Genomic DNA, 24,122 nt, shown 5'->3' on the forward strand with positions numbered 1-24,122 from the left:
TTAGTCATTTTTGCAACAATGCCTAAACCAATGGCAAGAGCTTCTTCCATACGTTTTCTTGTAGTAGTTTTAGAGTTTCATGTCCTATGTTTACGTTTTTAATCTATTTTGAATTCATTTTTGTATAAGATGTGAAGCAATGGTTCACTTTCATTCTTCTGTATGTAAATACCCAGTTTTTTTTTAACATTATTTATTCAAGACTGTCATTTCTCTACATGTGTTTTTGGCACTTTTGTCACAAATCAATTGATTAAACACGGGTTTAATTCTGAGTTCTCTATCCTGTTCTATTGGTTGAGCTGTCTGTTTTTATGCCAGGATCATACTGTTTTGATCACAATTACTTTATAATATGTTTTGGAATCAGGGAATGTGACACCTCCAGCTCTGTTCTTTTTGCTTGAGATTGTTTTGGCTGTTGAGAGTCTCTTGTGGTTCTATGTGAATTTAAGAACATTTTTCTATTTCTGTAAGAGTGGGAATTTTGATAAGAGATTACAATAAGTTTGCAGATTGGGTAGTATTAACATTTTATGAATATTAATTATTTCAGTCCATGAACATGGTTTATCTTTCTATTTATTTGTGTCTTCTTGCCTTTCTTTAAGCAGTGTTTTATAGTTTTCAGTATATAGCCATTCCTTGGTATTCTTGGGGTATTGGTTCCAGGACCTCCCACAGATACCAAAATCCATGAATGCTCAAGTCCCTGATATAAAATGGCATATTATTTGTTGTAAACTATGCACATCCTCTTGTATGCTTTAAATAATCTCTAGACTACTTATGATCCTAATACAAAAAAACTACGTAAATAATTGTTAGAACTGTGTTGTTTAGGAAATAATTGATTAGAAAATTATTTTTTAGAAAAAAAGCCTGTACATGCTCAATACAGAGGTAATTTTTTAAAAAAATATTTTTGATCTACGGTTGAATCCATGGATTCAGAATTTACAGGTAACAATGGCATACTATACAGGTCTTTTACCTCTTTGATTAAATTAAATTTACACTTATTTAACTTTTTGTTGCTATTGTAAATGTAAATGTTTTCTTTTTTAAGAATAATTCATTATTAATATATAGAAATGCTACAAATTTTTGTATGTTGATTGTGTATTGTTCAATACACAATAAAATTCAACTTTACTGACTTCATTTATCAGTTCTAACAGTTTTCTAGTGGAGTTTTTATGGTGTTTCTTACATATAAGATTAACTCTATTGCAAGAAAACAAACAACCTAATTAAAACATTGGCAAAAGATCTGAATAGACAGTTCTCAAAGAAGACATATATGTATGTGAAAAATGCTCAGTATCACTAACCATTAGGGAAATGAAAATTAAAAGTACAGTAAGATACACCTCCCATCTGTTACAATGGCTCTTATCAAAAAGATGAAAAATAACAAGTGTTGGTGAGGATGCAGAGAAAAAGAAACTTGATATAATATGGATATTTGTCATTGTCCAAATCACAAGTTGAATTGCAATCCCCAAAGCTGAAGTGGGAACTAGTGGGAGATGTTTGGGTCATGGGGACAGGGACAGATCTCACATAGCTTGGTACTCTTTTCGCAATAGTGAGTGAGTTCTTGCAAGATCTGGTTGTTTAAAACTGTGTGGCATCTCCCCCTTCCATCTCACTTGCTTCTGCTCTTGCCATATGATATGCCTTCTACCCCTTTGCCTTCTGACATGATTGGAAGCTTCCCAAGTCCTCTGCAGAAGCAGATGCTGCTATGCTTCCTGTTGCAGAACTATGATCCAATTAAAAATCTTTTCTTATGAGTTACTCAATCTCAGGTATTTCTTTATAGCAATGCAAGAACGGCCTAATGCAGAACTCTTATACATTGTTGGTAGAAATGCAAATTAGCACCATTATAGTAAACAGCCTAAAGTTTCCTCAGGACACTAAAAATAGAACTACCATATGATCCAGTAATACCACTCTGGATGTATATCCAAAGGAAGCGAAATCAATATGTCAAAGAGATATCTGTACTATCATGTTCATAGAAGCATTATACACAATAGCCAAGATACAGAATGAACCTAAGTGTTCAACAATGGATGAATGGATGAAGAAAATGTAGTATATATACACAATAGAATATTGGGAAAATTCTGTCATTCATGACAAGGATAAATCTGAAGGACATTATGCTAAGTGAAATAAGGCAAGCACAGAAGTTCAACTACCACATGATCTCACTTATATGTGTAATATAAAAAAGTTGAACCCACAAATGTACAGAGTTAAATGATGGCCTCACATAAAAAATGGTAAATAAGTGAAATGATGGATATGCTAGTTAGCTTGACTTAAACATTCCACATTGTATACATATATCAAAACATCACATTGTATCCCTTAAATATATACCATTATGATTTGTTAATCAAAAATAACATTAATAATCATGAATTTAAAATTTTAAAATAAATTAAAGTTGAAAGAGGAACTGCAAACATTGCTATAGAAAAGATTCCTTAATAATACCTAAAAGATTTATATAAAAATTCCTTTTTATTACATAAAATATTTTTAAACCCAGTCTTGATGTGAGATTTTTTAAAAATAGAAAACATTACTAAGTATCTGCAGAAAACTAGGACTTAACGTAATATATTAGATATTTAGTATTATTGTAACTACATTTATAGCAAGAAAAATTTCTAAATTTTGATTAAAGAATCTCACCAAATCTATCTACCAAAATCTGAAACAATGAAGAGCAATGATATAGAATAAATGAATACATTTGAATACCAACAAAACAAAGAACTCATTTTAACACTTAATAATATTCTAGAAAGCAAAATAAATAAGTAAATAAAACCTGAGACATCATTTGGCTTAGGAATTAATTTTATAAAAAGCCTCTTCCTGCCTATTTTTTGCTTCATCTTTTTGAGAAAGATGCAAATTACCTGAAGGCTGTGTTGGGACATCAAGTTCTAGTATAACTGCTGAAGTTGGTATTATTTTTATTTTGCTGTCACATAGAAGGTGTTGAATTTTTTTTTAATTATATGAGGTATATAGTAGGTGTGTATGTTTATTGGATACATGAGCTGTTTTGATACAGGCATGCAATACATAATAATCACATCATAGAAGATGGAATATTCATCTTTTCAAGCATTTATCTTTTGTGTTATGAACAATGCAATTATACTCTTTTAGTTATTTTAAAATGCATAATAAATTATTATTGACTGTAGTCACCTTGTTGTACTATTAAATACTATGCCTTGTTCATTCATTTTAACTATTTTTTTCTACCCATTAGACAGACATCCCCACCTACCCCCAATCCTCCGATTACCCTTCCCAGCCTCTGGTAACCATCCTTCTACTCTCTATCTCCATAGAATCAATTATTTTGATTTCTATATCCCATAAATAAGTGAAAACCTACAATGCTTTTCTTTCTGTGTCTGGCTTATTTCACTTAACATAATGACCTCCAATTTCATCCATGTTGTTGCAAATGATAGGATTTCATTTTTTTAATGGTTGTATAGTACTCCATTGTGTATAAGTACCACATTTTCTTTATCTATTCGTCTGCTGATGGACACTTAGGTTGTTTCAAATCTTGTCTACTGTGAACAGAGCTGTAACAAACATGGGAATGCAGATATCTCTTTGATATATTGATTTCCTTTCTTTTGGGTATATACCCAGCAGTGGGATTGTTGGATAATATGGTAGCTCTATGTTTAGTTTTTTGAGGAACCTCCAAACTGTTCTCCATAGTGGTTGCACTAATTTACATTCCCACCAACAGTGTATGAGGGTTCCTTTTTCTCCACATTCTTACCAGCATTTATTATTGGCTCTATTTGGATAAAAGCCATTTTTAATGGGATGAGATATCTCATTGTAGTTTTGATTTGCATTTCTCTGAGGATCAATGATGTTGAGCACCTTTTCATATGTCTGTTTACCATTTGAATGTCTTCTTTTGAGAAATGTCTTTCCAGATCTTCTGCCCATTTTTAAATCTGATTATTAGATCTTTTTTTTCCTATTGAGTTGTTTGAGCTCCTTAGATATTCCAGTTATTAATCCCAGACATTGGTATTCTAATATCTCATGATTCATCAATTATTTTCATCAAAACACAATATTAAAAGACAGACTGAAATATAATTAAAAAGAAAATGTTTAATTTTCTCACACTTATTAAAAAAATAATAAAAATTATCTCAAGCTACAAAAGCAAGATAATTTCTAGTAATATTCCAAAGTGAGGAACTAAATACAACAGATACAAATTTTGTAGTTCTTGAAGCAGTCAATTTAGTGAGTAGGGGGAAATGATTCATCTTATCTTACATACTATAGTTGAAGTATTACTCAAAATTTTCTTTGTCACATGCTAACCTCTTTATAAAATATATCAAATAATAGAAAGAAATTATACATTTACCTGACTTAGAGCTTTGGAAAGACCCAATCTTTTCACTTATATTTTTAGTAATTTCTTAGTTTACTTAATGCCTCTCAGAAGACAAACTTATTTAGTGAATTATAAGTTAAAATAAAACTTATTATTTAGAGGAGAGGATTGTCTCACTGTTCACTGTACAAACCACCAAAACCAAGTTGCCAGGATCAAAAAATTGTCCCAGCCATCATAGCTTCATAATGACTGATAGCAATTCAGTCCAAACAGATCTTGATATTTCATCTGGATCAGCCACATAAGTGCAAGTATGTTTATCAGCAGATTTGACCCAACAACTTAAGTAATTTAAAGAATTCAAAGTCAAATGTGATGCACTTGTTTTTATTTTGTTTTGTTTTGTTGCCTAATTTATAGGCCCCTTTAGTAAGAGGGTAAAAAGAACAGTGGAAGCAAGTGGTTAGGTTGAATTGGTTTAGAGAGTGTGAAGGTGGCCTCTCTGCAGAGCAGGGGGCCTGCCAGTAGTCTGGAATCTATGCTCTAACTATAAAACAGCCTTTACACTGAGCCTCGAGGGTCATTTTATAGGTGTTCTATAAACATTTTAAAGCTATTCTATAGCTGTTCCTTTTTTATAACTGCCCCATCTTATCCCTCCTGGAGATGCCGACCCAGCAGGGGGTGAGGTAATGGCCAGTTATGGAGATCAGAATGGATTGCTTTCTTTACTCACTCACCCTTCACCTACTGTTTAATGACCACCCAACGACTCCCAGCAAAACAAAAAGAAATCAGTAGGAATAGTTCTGAAAGGATACTCTAGACAAAGTCTAGATCTGAAGGTTTCCCCACTGCCACTCAGTGAATGAATGGCCCATCCTACTGTCCTTGTTTAAATACAGGCATAGTTATACGTAATACACACACACACACACACACACACACACACACAATGCAACTAAATCTGATATGGGAAGAGACAAATTCTTGGTAGGGCTCTCTCCCTTGTCATACCAGAGAGTTAAGTAATGTTCTTTGCATGGTGATCACGTGATGAATAAGAAAATATTCAGTGCCCAAAGCGCAATTTTGAGATTATGTGTTTAATCAATCTACCCTAGGAAAGAAAAAGTAGTGTTTAGGTTATTCTGAGTACATCGTCTATGGGGTAGCCTTGCTCTACAAGGAGTAGCTAAAAAAGAAAAAGAAAAAGTAATGTTTAAACCTGTAGATTTTTCTCAAACTATCAGAGAATTTTTAGTTTCTTTTGAGTATTGCCCTGATATGTTTTAAATTTCACTGAAAATTCCGGAAATAATGTGGCTAACAATGCACACAGCAGGAAGTAAGATTTTGGCTATTGTGATCGTCTTAAGTGTCAATTTAAACCATAATCTAGATTTGCAGTGAAGGTATTTGTAGATATCATTTTCCCCAGAAATCAGTTTACGTTTACTTTAAGTAAAGAAGATTATGGCTGACAATATGGGAGGGCCTTATCCAATCAGTAGAAGATCTTAGGAGCAAAGTCGAGGTTTCCTAGACAAGAATTTTTGCCTCCAGATGACAGCCTAAAATCTGCCTGTTTCAAGTCTGTTGGCCGTATTATAGGTTTCCAACTTGCCAGCTTTCACAATTCCATAAGCCATTTCTTAAAATAAATGTCTCTCTGTTGAATATCTCTCTATTTTCTATATAATTCTACTGATTCTGTTTCTCTGAAGAAACCTGACTAATGCAGTTATTAAATATTAAATTGCTCAAAAGATATACATAAATTTATCTTAATATATATAAACTATGTATATAGAAAGTTTTAATAAATACAGCAAGGATGCAGGGTACAAGATTCAAAATACAAAAATCAATTGTGTTTCCAGCAATGATCAACTTGAAAATAAAAGTAAGAAAACAATTTCACTTATGATAACATCAAAAATGATAAAACTCCTAGGAGCAGCTACAGAACATTGTTGAAAGAAATTAAAGGCCTGAAATGATGGAAAGCTACCTCATGTTTATTAATGGAAAAATTTAATATTTTTAAAGTGCCAGTACTCCTCAACTTGACGTATACATTCAAAGCAATTAGTATCAAAATTCCAGCTGGCTTCTTTGAAGAATTTACAAACTGATTGTGAAATTCAGGTGGAAATTTAAGGAGCTCAAAATAACCAAAAATGTGGAAAAAAAGAACAAAATGGGAGGACTCACACATCCTGACTGCAAAACTGCAGTGTTAAGGACATCGTGGTACTAACATAAGGATAGACAAATAGATCAATAGAATTAAGACTTCAGGAATAAACCCTCACATTTATAGTCAAATAATCTTCAGCAGTGGTGCCAAATAATTCAATGGGGAAAAAATTTTATTTTCAACAAAATGATGCAGAGAAAACACGATATCCACACGTAAAAGAATGAAGTTGGGCCTTAGCTCATATCACACATGAAAATTAATTCAAAATGTACTAAAGGTCTATATGTAAGAGCTAAATTTATAAAACTCTTGGAAAAGTACATATGTGTAAACCTTCACATCATGGGTTAGGCAATAGTTTCTAAGACATGACACCAAAGCCCCAGCAACAAAGGAAAATTTGATAAATTTGACTTCATCAAAATTTTTAAAATGTTTGTGCTTCAAAGGACAGTATGAAGAAAGTGAAAAGCCAACTCACTGAATGTGTAGGAATATTTGCAAAACATATATCTGATAAGAAGCTAGTATTCAGAATATAAAAAGAACCCTAACATCTCAACTATAAATAACCCAATTAAAAAATGTGAATAGACATTTCTCCAAAGAAGATGTACAAATACCCAATGAGCACATGAAAAGATGTTTGACGTCGTTAGTCATTAGGGAAAGGCACATCAAAATCACAATAAGATACCATTATCTTCTTCATATAATAAATAAAAGGATAACTGTACATCAAAGAGACTAATAATTAAGTGTTGGCACTAATGGGGATAAATTGAACACGTGCATTACTGTGGAAATGTAAAATTGTGTATCTACTTTAAAAAATAGTTTGGCAGTTTCTCAAAAACAAAAAGTTAAAGAGTTACCATATGACCCAGAAATTTCACTCCTAGCTATACACCTATGAGAAATGTAAACATACATCTATACAAAAAGTTGTACCTGAATGTACATTGAAGCATTACTCAAAATAGCCAAGAAGTGTAAGCAACCAAAATGCCCATCCATTCATGAATGACTAAACAAAATGCAGCATATCTATACAATGGAATATTATTCAACAACAAAGGAACAAAATGCTGATACATATCAAAATATAGATGAACATTGAATACATTATGCCAAGTTAAAGAAGCCAGACACAAAAGACCGCATATGGTACAATTCACTTTATATGAAACATACAAAACAGACAAATCAATAGAGATAAAAAGTACATCAGTGTTTACCAGAGTTTGAAGTGGGGAGGGAGAGAAAGGAAATGGCTGCTAATGGGTAAGTGGGTTCTGTTTGGCCTGGTGAAAATACTCTGGAATTAGGTAGTGGTGACGATTGCACAATTTTGTTAATATAATTAAAACTACTGAATTTTATCCTATAAAGTGGTGAATTTTATGATATGTGAATTACGTCTCAAAAAAGAACATAATAAAGTTTGAAAATCAGGTTGTATTATTAGTCCATTCTCGCACTGCTATAAAGAAATACCTGAGACTGGGCAATTTATAAAGAAAACAAAAGGGGTTTAATTGTCTCACAGTTCTGCAGGCTGTACAGGAAGTGTAGCGGCTTGTGCTTCTGGAGGGAGGCCTTAGGAAGCTTTCGATCATGGTAGAAGGCAAAGCAGAAGCGAGGCACTTCACATGGCTGGAGTAGGAGGAAGGAGGCGGGGAGGTGCCACACACTTGTAAACAAGCAAATCTCAGGAGAACGCACTATTGCAACAAAGCCAGGGCTGGTGGGGTGGTGAGGGAGGGATGGTGTTAAACCATGAGGAAACCTCCCCCATGAGCCAATCAACTCCCACCAGACCCCACTTCTAGCATTGGGGATTATATTTCAACATGAGAATTGGGCGGAGATACAGATTCAAACCATACCACATGATGAAAGCAATTGTATTATTTTGAGTAACTAATCTTCGATGACCTGAAATTTGGAATTTATTGAACTTTTTTATAAATTATTTTAGATATATAATGAAGATAAATGTATAGTCTTTTCTATTCTTTGCAAAGCATTTTTGGGAAAGTATCTTTTTTTCATCTTATATCCTAAATTGGTGAATTTCACAAATTGAAAACCTCCAGCTATTTTTATTTTGTTTTTCTTCCTTTTGTCCCCAATGTTAGTTTTCAAGGCATCTTTCTGTTTTAAAATACAGATTTTATTATTATTCAAGTCTGGTGAGGCCAACAGATCAAGGGATGACTGACGTCGAAAAGATAACTTGTTGCTTAGTTCCCAAAATGGACATACCATGCCATGAAAAAACAACATAAATTTATTTATAGGCACTAAGGTCAAATGAGACTTTAAGAAAATTTAAAAAAAAATTATCACTTGAATATATTAATAACCTTATTCCGTCTTCCCTTCTTCCCTGGGGAAATGCCAGGTTGGCCAGGAAGCTGTGGAAAAACAAGGTCAAGAGACTTTATTGTGGTTTTCAGGGAAAGAAGTGGGCAAGGTGGTGTAAGCAGGTTTAGGGTCACTACTTTAAGTAATCTCCACAGGTTCTGAGGCATAAGGACTGTTCCTAATACCTGGTACCCGGCCTTGGGGTGTTTGGAGCAAAGGAATATTGGTCCAGAGTTTTAGAACCTTATAGAAGAGGTGGGGTGTGGTGGTGGCTGTGAGTTCTGCATTGGTTAGTCTGCATATAAAAGACACAGTCACATTGGATCCTTTTCTGACTCTAGGGATTGGCTAGTCCCAGGACAGACAGTCTCACCAGGGTTCGTAAAGCGCCCCATATCAAAACTTCCTAACAGAGTGTGACATGCTTCACACACCCTCCTTGATTTCTTTACTTCGAAATCTACCCTCAAATGCTTTTAGTCTAATAAATTGAAGTGGTTGACATATTAAAATGTACCACCCCCAAGAGACACCACATACAAGCAGGCCTCATCCAACAGGTGAGTTAAATGCATATCATATAGGAAGTTCTTACAGAGGCTCCACAACAGCTGGGAGTTAGGCTATTCTGTCCTGTGTTTCCAGAAATAAGAGCTGATGGAATAGCAAACATAATATAAAGCACACTACAAATATTGTCATGTTGCTTTATTTATGTCATGACTCCTCTTTGTGACATTTAGAAAAGTCTTATAAATGGGAATCTAAACCAAATGCAAACCAGTATTCTCAAATAAATATGGAGGTCATAATACCAGGCTTATCATTAAGTCCACCAGCAAGCAAATGTGTTCAGTTGTCTTAGTGGTTTTTGTCAAATACAAAACTTAAGAGAACCAAAAAGTCTTGCCAGGTTTCCAACTCTTCTATTCCTTTAACTAGTTATTGTATTTCATTTTTGTTAAGGAATGCTTTAAACAAATATTTTTCTCTTAGATTCTTTATGAGTACTTATAGCTGCAGACATCCAACTGAAACTTTTTCTGCCCACTAGTTCCATATTTCATTTTAGTTAAATTTAGAGAATCCACCCTGGAAAGTGTGGCATATGGTATCATCGCACAGTGGAAAGAAGAATGTAGATTTGCTTACTGAGGGAAAGGCCAATGAGAATTTAAGAAGATTCAGAGGGCAAATCAAAATCATTGCATGTGCTAATAAATTTATCCCCTCTCCCAAATAAGAAAATTATATTTAAGTACACACACGCACACATGCACACAGTGATAAAAATTTGCACTCTTTTCTCATCACCATTGTAATTCTCAAATATGAGATCTTTCCTTTTAATTGTTCACTCACAAAGATTTAATTAGCCAAATTTCTAAAATGTGACAATCAAGCTGCCAAAAATCAGCCATAGTTTTGACTCGTAGGTCTGTAAAGAATTACTTGGTGGCAATCAGAATGAATTGCAAAGCTTATGTCCAAAAATTTTTTCATACCACATAAACACAGCAATTGGTGTGGTAATTCTTCTTGATTGCACTAGCTGGGGGAATTTAGCAGAAAATGCCAAAAGTTAGTTAAGGTATGCTATCTACTGGGCTATGTGTCATAAAACTGCTAAATACATGTACATGTAGATTATATACACATACACACATAAAATATATTCAATATAGAGTTTATTTTTAAGCTATGTTACTGAGAAACGAGTGCTATTAGGAACATAGAACCATCTTCTATACAGACACTAAAACTCAGGATTTACTTGGGCAAAGGTGGAATTCAGCACATTTAATATAGTTTTCTAATTCTCCCATGACATAGTGCTATTCTTCACATGAGTTTTGTTGTTTGTAAATACTGTTTATGTTCAGGGATAATAGAGGAATAAAAATGAATAAAAGAAAGCTGAGTTTCATGTTAAAAAATGATTGCTCCAGCTTGAATCCCTATTAATATGTTCTTATAACCAAATTTTATGTTTTCATCAAATCAAACTCTCATGGAGAATGGCAAGGTGCTAGCAGCTCAAAGTCACTATGCAAAAAAGTAATATCTCAAATAATATTAATACCTCTAACAGAAAGCATAGACACCATACACACTCATAACATGGTGTTAGACCTGTCAATCAAAACTGTGGCTGGTTTTTGGCAGCGTGATTATCACATTTTAGAAATTTGGCTAACTGAAACTTTGAGCGAACAATTAAAAGAAAAGATCTTATATTTGAGAATTAAAAGAGTGACAAAACAAGAATACAAATTCTTACTATTCGCTCTCTCTCTCTCTCTCTCTCTCTCTCTCTCTGTGTGTGTGTGTGTGTGTGTGTGTGTGTGTGTGTGTATTTAAATATAACTTTCTTATTTGGAGGAAGGGATAAGTAGGTGTTAATAGGAGTTCCAATTTCAAAATATGTCTGTTTTATTCATCAGCTGGACTTCTCTCTCAAAGATCAGTCAATTGATCTCAAATGCCCTTAAGAGTGTAAAAAATTGGCCGGCTCAGTGGCTTATACCTATAATCCCAGCATTTTGGGAGGCCGAGGCGGGTGGATCACCTGAAGTCAGGAGTTCGAGACCAGCCTAGCCAACATGGTGAAACCCCGTCTCTACTAAAAATACAAAAATTAGCCAGGCATGGTGGCAAGCGCCTATAGTCCAACCTACATGGGAGGCTGAGCCAGGAGAATCACTTGAACCCATGAGGCAGAGGTTGCAGTGAGCCGAGATCGTGCCACTGCACTCCAGCCTGGGTGACAGTGCAAGACTCCGTCTCAAAAAAAAAAAAAAAAGTGTAAAAATTAAATATTATCCCCAAGTATAGAGATCTTAATATCAACTTAAAAAAGAATGTTATATATCATAAAGCATGACACATCTATGAGTTAAAAACACTTTACCTGATGTTACCATCTGCTGGAACTAAGACTACTTCATGTGTCCCACGGTGCAGGGAGGGCAGAGGCAATAGGCGGAAGCTCCTCCAAAGAATACAGGAAGAGTGATGTTGGATGCAATCCTCTCATAAAAGAATTAAAATGACAAAATTCAGGATTACTCCCAAATGTGTAGCATTAAAAAAAGACAAGAGTAGTAACGTAAACGAGCATTTTTAATGCTGAAAACAAGCTACTTATCTAATTATAACCTTTATTTTGGAAAGAAAACACCAAATAATACAACAGATCTCTACAATTTAATGTACACATGCTATATACCAGCTTTTGTGCTAAGAAAATTAAGATTATTTTATTTATTCTTAGAACAACTCTAAACCATAGAAACTGTTAATGGCTCCTTTTTTATAAAGGAAACCTTAGAGAATAACTCCCTAAGTCTCACCTCATAAGTGGGCCCAGTATGTGAAGGGCTTAAAAGTTGTTATCCAGGAGTGATATTTAAAAACATATCAACGTGTTATTTATAGTTGACACTTCATTATTGCTAACTTTCAGATGATTTCTAAAAAGTCTTTTTATATTATTAATTTGTATAGAAAGATTACCAGTAAAATGTAATTTCTCCTAATGCTGTGTAAATATCCATGTTGAGACAAATCCCTCACCACACAGCTAAAATATAATGAGGCATCTTCAGTAGTTTTCTCTTTTTAGAAGTGATTCATTTATGTTCAGCAATTTCTTGGTCAGTTCAGGTCAGAAAGTCTAAGAGTGAGCAGGAGATTGTTTTTCCAGTGACAGACGTTACAGAGGAAGAAAGCAACAATGGAAGCTGGAAAAGTTTACTATGATACTAGTTATTTCCTTGTATGGAAAAATTCTTCCTTTATATGGACAAATTTTGATCAGGGTCAGTGGAAAATAACTGAAGTCTTTCAGAAAATTGCAGGGTTTCTTACACTCTTGGAAGGCACATCTGTCAGCACACTCAATCAAGCCATCATGTCACTGCTATTTCTTTAGAAAAGCCAAATAAATAGGTACACAAAGATTACATCAATTTAGGCGGAAGTTCTTAATCATCAAAGCTCAAATAATGGATGAAAAACATGTGTAACTTGCATTAAACAGATGGTTTTCCTACTCTAATGGCCTAGTTGACAATTGTAGGAGAGATAAAAAGAGAAGGTGAAAGAAAGATAACTTTAATTCAGATCATCCTGGTTTGTGGCCCTTTCAGTAAAGACTAAGTATAAGATCCCGGTTAAGATATTTAATCCATCTCAATTTTACTGTCCTCACATATAAAAGAAATATGCATAATATTAAAAATTTTTATATAGCTATAACTATGTCTGTATTGCTTGAGAGAGTAGGAGCTCCAAAACTGATAACTATTTTTATTAAGCCAGCCTTAGTCTTAAAAGTACTTTTTATTTTTGCTTCTTTCTTAGTTTTCTTTAAAAATAATTGTGATCAGAACACTTAAGATCCATACTCTTAACAAATTTTTAAGTGTACAAATGATTATAGATACAATGCTGTATAGTAGATCTTTGAAGCTTATTCACCTTGCTTTACCAAAACTTTGTGCCTGTTGATTAGTAAGTCCCCATTTCTCCTCCCTCCAGCCCCTAGCAACCATTTTATTCTTTGATTCCATGAATTTGACTATTTTAGATGTGTCATGTAAGTAGAATCATGCAGTATTTGTCTTTCTGTGACTGCCTTATTTCACTTAGCATAGTATCCTCAAAATTCACCCATATTGGCCAGGCGCAGTGGTTCATGCCTGTAATCTCAGCACTTTGGGAGGCAGAGGCGAGTGGATCACCTGAGCAGGAGTTCAAGACCAGCCTGGCCAACATGGTGAAACCCCATCTCTACTAAATATACAAAAACTAGCCAGGCGTGGTGGTGCATGCCTGTAATCCCAGCTACTCAGGAGGCTGAGGCAGGAGAATCACTTGAACCTGGGAGGTAGAGGTTGCAGTGAGCCGAGATCATGCCACTGCACTCCAGCCTGGGCAACAAGAGTGAAACTCCATCTAAAAAAAAAAAAAATTACCCATATTGTCACATATTTCAGAATTTCCTTTTTGTGAAGGCTGAATAGTATTCCACTGTATGTATTTACTACATTTTCTTTATCCATTCATCTGTTCATGGACATTTAAGTTTCTTCCATATCTTAGCTATTGTGAATAGTGCTGCAACAAACATAGGGGGACTCATATTTCTTGAAGATATTAACTTCAATTCTTTTGTATAAATATCTAGAAGTGGGATTGCTGTATATCATACCATAGTTCTATTTTTAAATTTCTGATGAATCTCCATACTATTTTCCATAGAAACTGCATCATTTTGCATCCCCACCAATAGTGTGCAAAGGTTTCAATTTCTCCACATATTCACCAGCACTTGTCTTTTGATATTTTGATAATAGACATCCTGACAGGTAAGAGGAAATATCTCATTTTGGTTTTGATTTGCATCTCCCTGATGATTAGTGATGTTGAACATCTTTGTCATATACCTGTTGGCCATTTTTATGTCTTCTTTGGAGAAATATCTATTCAGGTCCCTAGTCTATTTATTATTATTATTTTTTAATAGAGATGGTGGTCTCTCTATGTTGCCCAGGCAGGTCTCTAGCTCCTGGACTCAAGTGATCTGCCCACCTTGGTCTCCCAAAATGCTGGAATTAACCTGGTCCCTTTTAAATCAGGTTATTAGGTTTTTGCTTTTACTATGAGTCTCTTATTTTTTTGCAGATTAACCACTTATCAAATACACAGTTTGTAAATATTTTATCCCATTCCTTAGATCACCCTTTTCACTCTGTTTCTTCTTCTTCTTCTTATTTTTTAACACAGCAGAAGCTTTTTGGTTTTATGTAGTTCTACTTGTTTGTTTTTGTTTTTCTTGCCTTGCTTTTGGTGTCATATCACCTTATGGCTATTTCTAATGGTTACTTTTGAGTCACCTTCTTGATCAGTGTTTTCTCAAACTTATTTCTGAAAATTCTCAAGATTTACAAAATAAAACAGTAGGGATCCTTGAAAATACAGATTATATAATAAGAATTATGAATTTTGTAATGGAGGTATACCAATATTATAACATATAATCATTCCTAAAATTACTTTAATAATAGGGTCTTTTTTTTCCTGTAGGGTATTGATGGAACCTTGACAAAACACAGTTGTAATGAGCATATATTGCTTTTTCCCAGTTGTCTTTCTGCGATAACCAGCAGAATAAGAAAAAATTGAATAAGTTTTTCTGTGTACACTGGCACAAAATAAGGTCTTTGAAAATAAAATTGAGTTAAGCTTTTAAAACTTTTGAATTCTATAATAAAGAAAAGGCTTAGGAAATTCTCTCATCCTTTTCATGAATTCAGATAGCCACTTCTAACAGATATTCAAATAATGAAAGTGGTAAAAACTCAATTTCTAGCTCATAAGCCTGAAGAGACTTTAGAGTTAAATAAAGGATAAAATCCCAAGAATAAAAGTGTAGAAAAGCTCCTTATCTTCATCCTGTTTATTCAACATATAAGATCACTCTTTGATGTACACACAAATCTATCCCCGGGTGGGTAAAAAAAATAGGCTGGATGTTTTACTTCTGTAATGGGTGATTACTACACAAACTAAAATAAAGAAGGAACTAAAACTTTTTGTAGAAGATCAGGGAAAGAACACTTCACCTAAAGCACAAATTCATTCTTGTGATAAAATTTGAGTCTCTAGTTTTATGCTATGTGACGGACATAGAGCAGTTACAAAAACAAACATTTTTTGCATGTAACTTTATGTAAGCTTATTTTCTTTAAATATCAGAAGTGTAAAGGGAAATGAGTAAAATATTATATTTTGGAAAAGAGAGTAGAAAGGTAACAATCCAGAGATGTCAATCATTTATATTGTCCTTCGGTCATTCATACATACTTTCCACTGTGTTAAATGTTGCTGAGGGAGTAACGAGGGGAATTAAATGTGAAGAAACTCAAAGACAGTGGGTGAACTTAGAACAACGTCTAATGGAGTGATGGCCCAGAGGCCATTTTACAATGGGTTGAAAAGAAAGTGTCAGATGAAGAAATGGACACATTGATTATAAACATCTCATTTCATCAGTTTGGCTCAGGAGACTAGAAAAAACTAATGCTCTAACTGGTGTGTTTATTTTACTTTAATTGGTTAAATGTGAGGGTTTAATGGAGAAATTCGAGAGTTAAGAATAGAGTATGGGGAATTTTAGTTAAGAGAGAAGTTGAATATGCTGAGGAGAGAAGGAAAAAATTCAATGTAAGTTTCTGAGGAACTAGGAGGAGAAAGAAAAGAAATTATGCCGTGTTCGGGCAAAGAACCTGCTTTTAAAAAAGAAAAAGAATCAGAAACAATTGGTATCCTCTTTCATTTCAGTGCTTCTGTAACTTAAATATAGGCAAAAAGAAAAAAAAGAAAAAGAAAAAAAAACACAACTGAGAGCCTTTTAAATGCAGATTTGGGTTCATCAGGTCTGAGTTGGGGCCTTAGAGTCGACATTTCTAACAGATTTCCAGGTGCTTCTCATGCTGTAGTGAGCAGATCACATTCGCAGCAGCAAGGCTGTGTTTCTATATTTGGTACTAATAAATGACAAGCTCCCAGCATCTGGCTGTAATTTTCTATTAATTAGAAATGGCCATCAAACAGTTGGAGGGAGGAGAGTAAGGTTGGTTAGAATAAGGGTGGTTAGAGCATTGACATAATTTTTCAGAGGCCACGTGAGTTGATTGGACCAGAGACATGATAAAATTATAAGCAGTACATTGAGGGCCTCCCAGTATGTGTTGTGACCAATTTATAACAGAACTTGCCTCTGCTGATGGGTCTCTTTCCACATTCTCTGTCCAGAGAAAATGCACGGTTGGTTTCATCCAAGATTAGGGTTGTGTGTGGAGATACAATGCAAAAACAACAGAGAGTCAAGAATGTATGTTATTACTGAAAAGGTGCTCCATGTAAACTAAGCTGGTTAAATAAAGAGGGAAGTTAAGCGTCACTAGTGTTAACGAATAGAGAGCAATAAAGGGATCCTTGTTTGTAAGTATCACTAAGGTCAGATGTTTCTTTTTGTTTTTTGGATTTTGTTGTTTTATTTTAGTTTAATTTTTATTCTTGATGTATATTTATATGTTGCTATGTAACATAAGCTGATTAGAGTCTAATTCAATCAGCAGACATTAATTAAGAAGCATAAAGCTGGGAAATTCCCATGTCTGTTATGTGCACTAGTAAGGATCAGTAGCCTAAAGACCCACATTGCAGTGTTATTCTGCTCCTGTTCATAATTTACAAGATTGTACTCCAAATGGAGGCCTGTGAGTTTAGTATTCTGATCAATGATCTAAGGTATTGGCTAAAGAATTACAAGTAGAATACTGGGAAAAGGATAAAACTGATAGTGAAAAAAAAAAAGATTGTTGTTAAAATCAAATAAGAGTGTTTATGAATATAAGCCAGTTGAGCAGGATTCAGAGTTCATAATAAGCCATAGAGTTCATTACCTGAAGAGAAGGTTTACTTAAATCGTATTCAGTAGATGCAGCTGGGATTACAGAACAGGCTACAGGTCAGCCGACCAAACACCACAGATCTGCTAGAGACCACCAAGGAAGCCTTTGGCCCCCTCTTCTGAGAAGCACTGACCTGTAAAGACCATGTGTGAGTCAGGCCAGACTGGCCAGCAAAACTAAACTAGGAGTCAGGAGATAAAAAAACACTGCTCCAAAAATCCTTAAACCAAAGTCGCCTCAGTGATGTTCTACTCCTGCTATTTTAAAGGCAAGATTCTCTTAGTAAGAATGTTCTACTGCTGACATTTGAAAGACAAGATTCTCTTTGTGGAAGGTTTGCTGCCCAGGATTTACCAATCTTGTCTCTTCTTTGAAAAGCCCTTCCTTCAAAAGAAATACACTCCATCCACCACAGAATAACAAGCACAATTTGATATAAAAATTATTAATTCATAGCAATGGCAAAATATCACACAAAATCAGGTAACCTCCAGGTAGAATGTTTGTATTATTAAATTTATTTGGCTTAAAAGGAAGTCTCTTCTATTAAAGTTTTGAATATTTACCTCAATACTTTGAAAAAAATTAATTAATTTGATCATAGACAAATGATGGGAGACACTTCTAATCTGTATGAGACTCCTAAAGTTTTCTTCTGAGGTCCTAGGCCAAATACTGAAATATAAATAAAATATTTTTTGAACACACATGGGTGGCTATTCTATTTCAATAGAACTAGACATTTCATTCAGAAATGCCTTAAACTTTTTTTCCCCGGCATCCCACACAAGTTTCATGATTTGTGTCTCAGCTGTTTTTATTTTTTAAATTCTGTATCAATACTTGTGAACTCTGAACTTGCCCAGATGATAGTATTGCATTGGGTTAGAAGCATAGATAGAATCGGAGAACTGGAGTTCAAACTCCAGCTCTCCTCCTTAGTAACAGGGTTAACCATCAGCATTTGCTTAATCTCTCTGTGCCTCGTTTTCGCCAGCTTGGCAAGCTGTGAGTGCTATGCAAGTTTTGTTGAAGCAAAAATTGTTACTGGACAATTTAAACAGAAAGAGGATATTTTAGGTAAGGCTATTGAAATAGGGCAGAGAGGCCAGAATTCAGTATGAACTCAAACAGTGTGAAACAAAATGTGGGAGGCTTTTTAAGTGCTGTGGTGAGAGAGTGGAAAAGTACTAGAGGATACTAGCAGAGAAGTTGGTCACTGTGCAGAGCATACTGAGTTATTTATGAGTTTTCTTTTTTTTTTTTTCTGCATGGTTAGATCATCTTTGTATATTATGTGGCACCACTCACCCACATTAGGCTTACCCTCTCACAGGGGCTAGGAAATAGGAGCTATCTTCCTGAGATTGTGTCTGAAAAAGATAGCTCCCAGGTCCTTGAGGAAGACATTCTTGTATTAGAAACTAGCAGAAGGCCTTAAAAAAGATTTACGTCTCAAAGGAACAAAGAAAGAATTTACAATGACAAGTTTTCTAAAGTAAATAAATGCTCTTAAGTCAGAGTCTACAGTCAGGAAAAATGTCTACAATGTAGTCCAGCTGAGGGGAACATTAAGGTCTTCTTGGCCAGTATCTATTGTTGCTTTAATTATAATCATTATTGTTAAGATGAAAGTTTGAGCCTTCGACACCTGGTGAGTGAATGCACAGAAATGTTTTTTTTTTTTTAATTCCTGGGTTGTTATCAAATGATATTAAAATAACTTTTGTTTTTTCAGGACACCAGCAATGTCTGAATTCAGTTCAAAACACTTTCCTCTGCGCAGATTTTTCAACATGTGACATATACATGAGAATCAGTGACACATTGAAACCAAAATAGCACATATTTGTAGGATAAATGAAAATCCCAACGAAGGGAACTCTGATACATCCAGTTAGGTCTGCGAAGAAATCCCATTTCCTAGACAATTAAACCTAAATAGAATCTAACCAAGGCAGGCTATGTGGCCCGAGTACTACTCTGCTTTTTTCAACTAAACCTCGCTGACCTTTACTTTAAAAAATGTAGTTTATGGCCTAGTGCGGTGCCTCATGCCTGTAATCCCAGCACTTTAGGAGGCTGAGGCGGACAGATCACGAGGTCAGGAGTTAGAGACCAGCCTGACTAACATGGTGAAACCCGTGTCTACTAAAAATACAAAAATTTGCCAGGCATGGTGGCGTGCGCCTGTAATCCCAGTTACTCAGGAGGCTGAGGCAGGAGAATCGCTTGATCCTGGGAGATGGAGTTTGCAGTGAGCCAAGACTGTGCCACTGCACTCCAGCCTGGGCAACAGAGCGAGACTCCATCTCAAAAATAAAATAAAAAATAAATAAATAAATGAATAAAAGGAGTTTATAATTCTACTACATATTGGTAACCCAAATTAAAAGTACAGGTTACATAGAAAGTTGGGCCTTTTTACAACTCCTGATTGAGTGAATTGGATAGAAGTAGAACAGAAATCCACGGACTCCGGCTTTTTCATGCTCAGTGCACCCTAGAATCTGAAAACTTGGTAGCATTTCACCTTCTGTGGGAATGTCTGATACATTCCCACAGAAGACGTTCCTACAGAAGGCAGTAAAGCAGAAGAAGATTATACTCCTTTTAAAGGCATGAATGCTTGACTATCATTATTTCTCCTCCTAACCCCATTGCTCTCTCGGGCCCATTGGCATTTGATAGGCTGATATTTAAAATGAGGACTTGAATATCTCCTCTTGTCATCCACAGAAGGCTAATCTTGCTCTTAAACTTTCAATATCTTTTCTAAGGCTCTTTAACGTTTCAACTTCTTAGCCTGTCATCTTCCATTATTCTTTCTCACAAATGATTACCAAAATTCTCTAGCCTGATGGAGTCACTTTGTTCTTCAAGAGTAAAATAATTACACAAATGATCACTCCATTAATGATTTCTATTCTTCCTAATATTGCCAGCAATTGTTGAGAACTTATGTTTCTTCTCAGCACCTTGATATGTGCATTCATATCTCCACTAAATTATCAAGCTCTTTTTTTAAAACAGCCATGACTAATGACCCAAAATTTTAACAGGATCTTCCCGCTGCAGAAGACCCAGATAGTGATATAAAAGTAAAAATTGCAAAGGCAAATCTAAGTATGCATTATTTAAAGATTATTTGAATCATCAGTAAAGTACACTGAAGCATGTAATTTTCCAAGACGAGTTAGATATAAAAAGATTTAGTCAAAACATCCAATCCCTTTATTCACTTAAAATACATAGGAAAAGTGAGAAGTTTTAAGGCAAATGGAACTTGCAACTAAGTAAAATTAGCAGAGATCTGGTAAAATTATATCTAAACTAAAAACTAATAGAAGTTTTTGCATTTGTTCATTTGTAATTTTCTGTATTTGATGCAGGTAAAATAATTGAAAAGAAAAGTATCAGGGCATGAATTTTTGATAAATATGTTGTAATGCAGTAGAATTGTAAAGAAGGATATAGAGAAGTAAAATTATTTAGAAAATGGGTAATACATTATGGTCTGTGTGTATCAGTAAGTATAAACTAAGTAGTTCTGCATAATTATGCCATCTATTCAAATTTTTAAAATATTTATTATAAAATTATAACAATGTTGTTTGGATCTTCAATAGGCTACAAACTACTTAGAGTTTACACTCACTCTTGAGGACATAAAGGTTAAGTTAACATAGTAATGAGAGGATTTTTAACTAAAATGGAATGCCAGATGGAAAACGTACAAGAAACTATGGGAAAGTAGAAGAAGGTAAAACCAGAACTATCGGGGAAGGGCGTACATTTGTAGTGTGGAAGAAGAACCACTTTCACTGAGATAAGGCATTAAGAGTGGAAGTTAATGAACATTAATTGGAAAGCAAAGGGTATGTATTTGAGTCACATCCAGGAAAAGATATACATTTGCTATATATAGAAGTATGGGAATAGTTTGCAAGAGTGAAATTGTATATATTAGAAAAGGGGCTTAACAAAATTGGTAAAGGTTGAAATAAATGGGAGAAATTAGAGGAAGTGACAGATATAACTGAAAATTGTGCATTTTTGAAAATCCAATTGGAAGGGAAACTTTGGGTTTATTGTGGAACATGTTTCTTTAAAAATGAGATTTGATTCATTGTAGTTAAAGAATTCTGGGTTGGAGTTTCACCAGTAAGTGTGGAAGAACTGGTCAAGGTCGGGATGGTACGGAGTAAAAACTTTATGGTATTGGCAAAATAAGGCAGAATGATATGTGTTATATCCTGGATAGACAAGAAAGGAAACAATAACTGGGAGACATATAGAAAGAAGAGACTGATTATTCATGACATTAGGGAAGAAATAGAATCAGTGGAAGAGAAATAGATCATTGTCAGAATGTGGGATAGTAACATTTCAAGCTTCAGTAGTAGATAGTTTCACATATGCCTCTTTTCTTGAACTTTTTATTCTCTTATTAAAGTTCTCAACTCCTTTCTGTATTCACTCTTTAACCCACTTCCATCTGCCAATAGAAGTATTGTAAAAAGAGAAGCATCATCCAATCCCTTTATCTGTCAAAAAGAACTTTCTGAGAATATGAGACAATATTTAAATGTTAAAAAATGAATTTTATATGGAACTGCTAAATATCTGTTTCTCAGGAGCTTGATATTATAAGCACTAGTGATAGCCACATTATCACTTATTAGGATTAATAGATACGTCCTCAATGAAATTAATTAAAATATGATAAAAAATATATAAAATCTTTTAAAACAAATTGATAATCTAGCAAGTAATACTTGAAAGGCAAAAAAAATGGGATTGAGAGGCAGAAAGAGGATCAAAGGTGACTTTTACTTTGGGGAATTTTTTGAAACCCAGGGATTTGTCTTTGCAATGCACAAGGGACAGAAAGAAAAAAAAAATCCAGAGCTTGCCCAATGTTGAGAGTGCAAGAGGATATCCTCCATATTCAGCGCTGCAGTATATGGGGTAAACTAGAAATAAACTCTACCACCACACACACATACACAAATCAGCAAGGGAAATTGCTTGCCTTAGACCTTGCCACAAAGTTAAATAAAAGAGAAAAAAAATCATTTCCATGAGAACTTATCCACACTAGATAGTGCTTATATGTGTTTATAGATGAAATTTATACTCCCCCAAGACATTCCAAGCTGAAAATTTAGTTTAAAATGGTTTTGGGTGGTTATACACTCAGAAGTAAAAGAAGAGTACCTCTCAAGAAAGCCACAGAAACTACTGTCTTCAAAGAAGCCCATAAACCCAATTTTAAAACTAGAAAGTAGCAGGCAAAATTCACCTAATATGCAGGGAAATGAATTCCCATGATGCAACAACAGAAACATGGACTTGAATTTTTGAAACATGATATACCACAAATTATACTCACTTGTTCTTTTCATTTCTATAAAAAGATGATCTCATAGTTGACTCTGACACTCTCATTTTTGAATCCTTAAATCTGGGTTACATGTTAGCAGTTGCAAAAGGTTTTGGCCACATGTCCCATTTAGGGAACTAATTGTGCTTGATCCTAAACTTACAGTGATATTTACAGATACTTTGCCGAGAAGCCTATCCCCAATGAGCTATCACATAGTTGAGAGAATAAATATTGATATGGTTTGGATCTGTGTCTACACCCAAATCTCATGTTCCGTTGTAATCCCCATGTTGGACGTGGGGCCTGGTGATTGGTGATTGGATCGTTAGGGCAGTTTCTTGTGAATGGTTTAGCACCATCTTCTCGATGCTGCCCTTGCAGTACTGAGTGAGTTCTCATGAGATCTATTTGTTTAAAAGTGTGCAGCACAACCCCATCTCTCTCTTGCTCCTGCCTCAGCCATAGGGAGTCTCTATTCCCCCTTTGCCTTCTGCCATGATGGCAAGTTTCCTGAGGCCTCCCTAGAAGCCAGGCAGATTCCAGGATCATGCTTCCTGTAAGCCAGCAGAAAGGTGAGCCAATTAAACCTCTTTTTTAAAAAAATAAATTACTCAGTCTCAGGTATTTTTTTGTAGCAATGTGAGAATGGCCTAATACAAATATAGACCCAGTAAAGTCAAAGTGAGCATTTTACCTAACAATACAGGTTCTTTACATTAAAAAAAAATGTAAACGTATCTTTCTTTTCTAAGGCTGCTCACATCCTCTTGCTTTCCTAGAACGTCTGAGTTAGGTTACTATAGTTTCCTTTTACTATAGGAAACACACTACAGTCAAAAAATCGAGTGAGTCCATCCCGCTGCTTTTCTTTCCATAAATAAAGTAGAATTCTAGTTCTGCCGAATATTTAAGGTACTGTACTATCTGTCCCAACCCCACCCCCACCTCCCCACCGATCTTGCATTCTAGTATCTATTCTTTCAAAGGACACCACTAGATCAATTACATGCATACTTTAGGCTCAATCCTTATAGCTTTTTGTTTTCTTTATCTCTTCCCCAGATCTGGTGCTAACCAAAATCTAAGATATTAACCAACAGAAAACTATAGTTTATCATTGGCATAGTGCTTTGGCCTGACAAATGATGAGTTTCTTATCCAGCATTCTTGGAAGCAATACAAGCATTTTTAATAATCTTTTTAAATTACAGCTTAGGCCTTACATAAGCTACATTTAGTAGCAGACAC

General features: G+C 34.7%; 1 long non-coding RNA gene across 1 annotated transcript; it reads right to left on the bottom strand.

The window, feature by feature from the left end:
• Positions 1 to 8,906: 8,906 nt before the first annotated feature.
• On the bottom strand, positions 8,907 to 12,049 carry LOC124900777 (uncharacterized). The gene is made up of 2 exons (XR_007058266.1): positions 11,914 to 12,049; positions 8,907 to 9,052 (listed from the first exon to the last, which is right to left on the bottom strand). It is a non-coding gene; the product is annotated as an uncharacterized LOC124900777 (long non-coding RNA).
• Positions 12,050 to 24,122: the final 12,073 nt, after the last annotated feature.

Source organism: Homo sapiens, chromosome 4 (genome assembly GCF_000001405.40).
Source record: "Homo sapiens chromosome 4, GRCh38.p14 Primary Assembly".
Lineage (NCBI taxonomy): Eukaryota > Metazoa > Chordata > Mammalia > Primates > Hominidae > Homo > Homo sapiens.